Genomic DNA, 6,000 nt, shown 5'->3' with positions numbered 1-6,000 from the left:
CATTCTCAAGCTTCTTGTTTTGATTCAACTATTGCTTGACTGGACTTTTTCCAAGAATGTTTACTAGCAGGTGCATTCAAGCTTCTTGTTTTGATTCAACTATTGCTTGACTGGACTTTTTCCAAGAATGTTTACTAGCAGGTGCATTTTCTGAGTTGTTTCATGTTTCAGAATGTGCCTATACTATATGCTATGGATTGCTACAGGTGCTGTGTGTATAACAGTGAATAAGTGGTTCCTGCTGTCTTGGATATTATCTAGATGATACTTACAGACACATTTCCATTCTCTTTTGGCATTGATGGTTATTGTGAAGATGTCTGAGACCAAATAGATTTTTCCTTTTTCATGCTTCTTGCTTTAATGAGAATGAATGCATGAATGATTATATTTTCATTCTTGTAAAATTCCATAGCTTTACTGAGGTAAGATTTAGTGTGTGCCCTTTCAGTTTACAGATTCAGTGATTTCTTCATTTCAGGGACATTTTTCGGTGATGTATCATTTAATACATCTCCCTTTTATGTAGGTTATGTATTTCCGAGACACTCATTCTTTTATGTCATATTACTGCACCTGTCTTTCCCTATTATGATCCCTTTTTACTTTAATCTTTTTTATATTTTCCCTCTGTATCATGATCATCTCAATCTTTTCCTCTACTTTAGCAATTTAATGTTCAACTGGGCCTGTTCTCCTTTTTGAGATTTCATTTGTTCTGCAGGTTGCTCTTTTGACTGTATGGCATTTTGCCAGATCATTTCTTGCTATGTTGCTCATGCTTAACTTTGAAGCTCTGTTCAGAATCTCTAATTGTTTTTATAGAGTGTGGCAGAATTTTCCCTTTTATGAGACTCCATTTCCAAATTATCTGAAAGCTGTTTGTATTCTCTGGCTATAACAGTTTGAGGGCTTAGCTTAGGTTATATTCTTTTGGGGAAAAAGGGAGAGCTGAACTGGGTCCCTTTGATTATTGGTGGGATGGGGCTCTGTCCTGTGTTCTGCAACAAAACAGCTGTCTCCTAAGGTTCATTTTCCGTAGTGAATGGTATATTCTATGTTTGGGATGGAAATAACCTTGTAATTTCTGGAGCTCCTCTCTTTTGCCTCTCTGAAGCTAACATTTCTTTATAAAATGGCACCTTTACTTTTACATAAAAAGGCAGCCCTGGTTTTACATATACCCCCTTCACCTATCTCTACAAAACTAATGTTTCCATCAACAAACAGAAGAGCAATCAAATAAGTGTTAACCTCAAGCTTGCCTCTTTCCAAAGTTGGAAACATTATTAAACATTCTTATGTCAAGTCATCACAACTGCTTGGTGCAGAAGAGGTAATGAGGTGAGGAAATATTCAAGTTTCCTGTAACTGTTTCTCCCATAAATACCATAGATTATGGATTAACACCTTTATCTTAAGTTGGGACCCTAAGCAATAAAAATTGTGATTCATAAATGTATATAGTAGCTTCTTTGAGCATGAAACTTCATTCTCTGCTGAAAGTCAGTGTATCTGGGGTCTGTGTTATGCCTGAGGGGGTCAAAAAGAATAACAAAATTCCAAAGAGACACAGATTCAGAATGTTCTTTTAGTTTTACACAGGGCTTGCATGAATGTCACTGGAGAGCTTGCCAAGTTTTTACCATGTTCTGTAAGTTGTATAGAGACAATAAACTAGAGGCTACATTAGTAACCTAGAACCTGCCTGAAAATAAGAGAGATCAGAAAGACTAACTCAATGAAAGGCAGCTACTAAGAGCTGTCACAACTGACAGTAAAGAAAGTTACTGAGAGCTGCTGCTTGCTTCAGCAGACCTTGGAATTGAGGGGAAAGGAAGAGCCAATATTTGAAATAGTTGTTAAAAGATGGCCTTTCAACTGGGAGCTCTCAAAGATGGCAGGCATCAGGGTCAGCTGACTTAACTTCATCCAATAATGGCTGAAAACATGACACCAGGAAAGACAATATACATTGTCAATTTTTTTCAAAACGTCCCTTTTTTTGGAGAGAGAACAAAATGTTTCCTCCTGTAAACTTGTGGGTTTCAAGGCTTTGTAACTCTGGATATAGTCTCAACTCAACCACAGAGATTTTGATTTTAAACCCTTCCATTGCGTCCTAATGTAGAACGTCACCTAGGAAAATAAAGTCATTTTAAAATGCAGGAGCTAATTAAATAGCTCTGTAGACGGTCATGGAGTCCATCTGTGTTAATTTGAGATGGACTTTGGAAGGTAATGCAGGTCAGTTTCCTCAGTTGTCAAAACAAGATGTCATGTATACCTCCTGTTCATCTGGAATTTAAATCACATGGATACTTCTATAATCAATACCGGTAGAAGAGCTGTACTTCAGGCACTTGTCAGAGGATGCAGCTATAAATAGGCTGTGATGCAGCACTTGCCTGAGGCTTACTGGAGAGAGCTGATATATGATAGGCACAGTCTAACGACAGGCTAGCTCTTTATTCCTCAACTTTCTCCAAACTCTTTCCCTGTATTAAGTCAAATGTCAGATTATACGTGGAAAAAAAATAAGATCTAGTTCAGATTCCTTATGATTCCCTGTAGGAAGAATTTTAGTGAACTAAAATTTTGACGTTATATTTTCTATCTTGCTCAGAGTTGTAATTTAAGGAATTCCAAGATGAAAAATAGTTACTTTCTGTTTTGTAAGGTTAAATTGAAGACTTAAGAGAAATGTGATTTAAATATTCACAATCTGTTTTTCATAGAATTCAAAGCCAGAAAAATATTTGTTTTTCAAGATCAGATTTTACAATATGGTGTGTAATACTCAGGAGTCCAATAGGTTTAGATTGCAGCTCTTCTACTTACAGGATATTTAGCAGGTTACTTCCTGGGGTGAAATCAGAATAATCACGGTACTGGCCTCCCAGGATAAGGGTTAAATAAGTTAATATACATAAAGATTTGGGGTGACTGGTACATAGTGAACTATTGCAAAAGGGCAAAAAAAATGACTGTTATTTGTACTAGGTAAGTAGCAATAAAGATGGGGAGAACTGGACAGATTTTAGAGATTTAGGAGATGATATTGACAGGACTTGGTATGGAATTGGATATGGAATGTAAAAAGGAAGAAGGATATCTAATATAACACCTAGGTTAGGGCTTAACAACTGGAGGAGAGATGATATCACTCATGGAGACAGAGTACATTGAAAGAAAATTACATTTAGGGGGTAAGATCCTAACTTCAGTTTATATGTCTTGAGTTTGAAAGGTTTTTGAAATAGACGGTAGTTTGATATTCAGATCTCAAACTTTGTAAAGCAGTCTAAATTGGCTTTATACATGTGGACATTAACAGTTTCAGATCAGGATAGCAGGAGAGGGAAACAGTTTCAAATAAAAATACACCTAGGACTGAGACCTGAGGCACTCTCAAAGGCATTATGACATTATCACACTAATACTCTAATCCATACCTTTTAGAAACGAATACATGTACTTCATATCTTTTTAAGTCAACTCTTAGAAATCCTTGTTAATAGGAAGTGAAGACTGTAGACACAGATAATCCCAAACTGAAAGAAGCAAGACAAGACATTTCAAAGCATGTTATAAAATAGTTTTAATATAAATGTTGTTTAATAATTAAGTATAATATTGAGAAATCAAACACATTTGATAATTAACAGTAATAGTATTAAGGATAATACTCTTGACATATTCCATTATACTAAGTGACCTCAATTTGCTGAATCTATAATGAATAAAGAATTATCTGATTATTCACAGCTGGGTTTCATTTAGTTTATTATTCCCAAATACATTTTAAAATAAATTCTGATTTCCTTAACACTCTTCTCAAGCTTACTTTGAACATGTATCTTAAATAAACTTTAATTGGTTAATAACCAGAAGATCAGTGCAGATATAGACCATCAATGCAAGTAAGTCCCAAGGAAAAAAGAAAATAGCACCAAGTTAAGTGATTGTCCTAGACAAAATTGCTAAATTATATTCTGTGAAAGATTGTGGAAGACTCAGAATGAATGAGGGGGTCAGAACTTTTTATTTTAAATATGCCACAATTTTTCTATTTGTAAAAATTGATAATATAATAGTATTTATCTCGTGGACTCTTCTGAGAATTAAAAGAGTTAATACAACTAAAGATCTTAAATTAGTACCTGGCATATGGGATGAGCTTAATAAATAGTATAAATTATATGATTGAGAGATTTGGCACACTTTTGAGTAAACTAATGTACACTTAAAAATTATATTGTTAAAATTATTATTTACTTAAAAATTAATTTTAGAAAGAAAATAGTCAAGAAACAAAGTTGGCTCCAATTCATTAATAGTTAGAGATAGCACCAAATTTTCTAAAACTGAAATAATAAGTAAAGGGTAAATTATCATGAGTAATTTAAAAATATTTTAAATTCATTTGGATGACTAAATGCATGAGTGATCATTAATATGAGAATCTATTGAGGAAGAAAACAAGACATAATAGACCAACTGCTTTACAGGGATAACTTATTATTCTTAAATTATATGTAGATTAATACATGGTTGGATACATAAGTGTATAGATAGATATCGATGTAGGTGTAGATATTTCTCTAGTGATAACCAGCTATTATAATAGACATAATTGGGAGAATTTGAACACTGACTATGTAAAATAACAGCATTGTATAAATATTACATTTTCTGAATAATAGAATTGTGTTATAATCATTATCGGAGAATGCCTTTGTCCTATAGTCATTATAGGAGAATGTCTTTGTTTTAAGGGTATAAATTCTGAAATACTTAGGAATGAAATGTCATGATGCCTGTAACTTACTCTGAAATTACACACGCAAACACATACACAAAGAAAATCAAATGTGGTAAAACGTTAACATTTAGTGAATCTGACAATAAAACAAAGTAAAGTAAAACACAATAAAACAAAATAAATGGCACAATTTTATTCCAAAAACTATGTCAATCAGTCATGTTCTATTACTTTATTAAATTATTTGTATTAACAACACTTTAATATTTCTTAAAGGTCAATATCTTTTCTCTTAGAATGTAATTTTTTTCTGTCTATACATTACATCTCCTAGTACAATACAATGCAAAGTAGAAGCTTAAGAAATACCTTTTTTTTTTTTTTGAGACGGAGTCTCCCTCTGTCACCCAGACTGGAGTTCAGTGGTGCAATCTGTGTTCACTGCAACCTCTGCCTTCTGGGTTCAAGTGATTCTCCTGCCTCAGCCTCCCTAGTGGCTGAGATTAAAGGCACATGCCACCATGCCCAGCTAATTTTTGTATTTTTCGTAGAGACAGGGTTTCACCATGTTGTCCAGGCTTGTCTTGAACTCCTGACCTCAGGTGATCCACCTGCCTCAGCCTCCCAAAGTGCTTGGATTACAGGCATGAGCCACTGGGGCCAGTCAGAAATACTCATTTTTGTTAGTTACCATCTATTACATCAATACCTATTTAAGAGATTCATTTGGGATTTAATCAGTTACATAAAAATCTTATGGACACTGCTGATTCTCTGCCCAAATCTCTTTGGATCACTTTTACCCATTCTGCAGCCTTTTCTCTGGCTTCTCTGTGGGCTTTTGCTTCCATGGCCCATACCAGCTACTATCTTCCAAGAACTGGCCCTTGGCTATAGATTCACTTGCAAACAAGTAAAGTCAGAAAATCAAGAACCAGAAATGCTTGGAGTTGATCTCCCCATTACCACCATGCTAGGATGGCTCTTACCTAATGGCTAATCAATGGGCCAGTGTGGACACACAGCTCCTTTGACTCAGGGTGAGAACCACTCTGAAATATAATTTATATTCCACAGCCTCCATGAAGTCGTATCTGTTACTTGTTCTCTTCTCCTTCCCTGTTCAGTTTCCCCTACTCTCTTCCCAGGCTTCTCCTGGGAACACGTTCCTAATACCACACTTGTATGCAAACCCTTGTCTCAAACTCTACATTATTCTAAGAAAATATATTTCA

The sequence above is a fragment of the Homo sapiens genome, chromosome 4 (genome assembly GCF_000001405.40).
Source record: "Homo sapiens chromosome 4, GRCh38.p14 Primary Assembly".
Classification (NCBI taxonomy): Eukaryota; Metazoa; Chordata; class Mammalia; order Primates; family Hominidae; genus Homo; species Homo sapiens.
The sequence above is the reverse complement of the archived record's forward strand: the minus strand, read 5'-3'. Positions refer to the sequence as shown.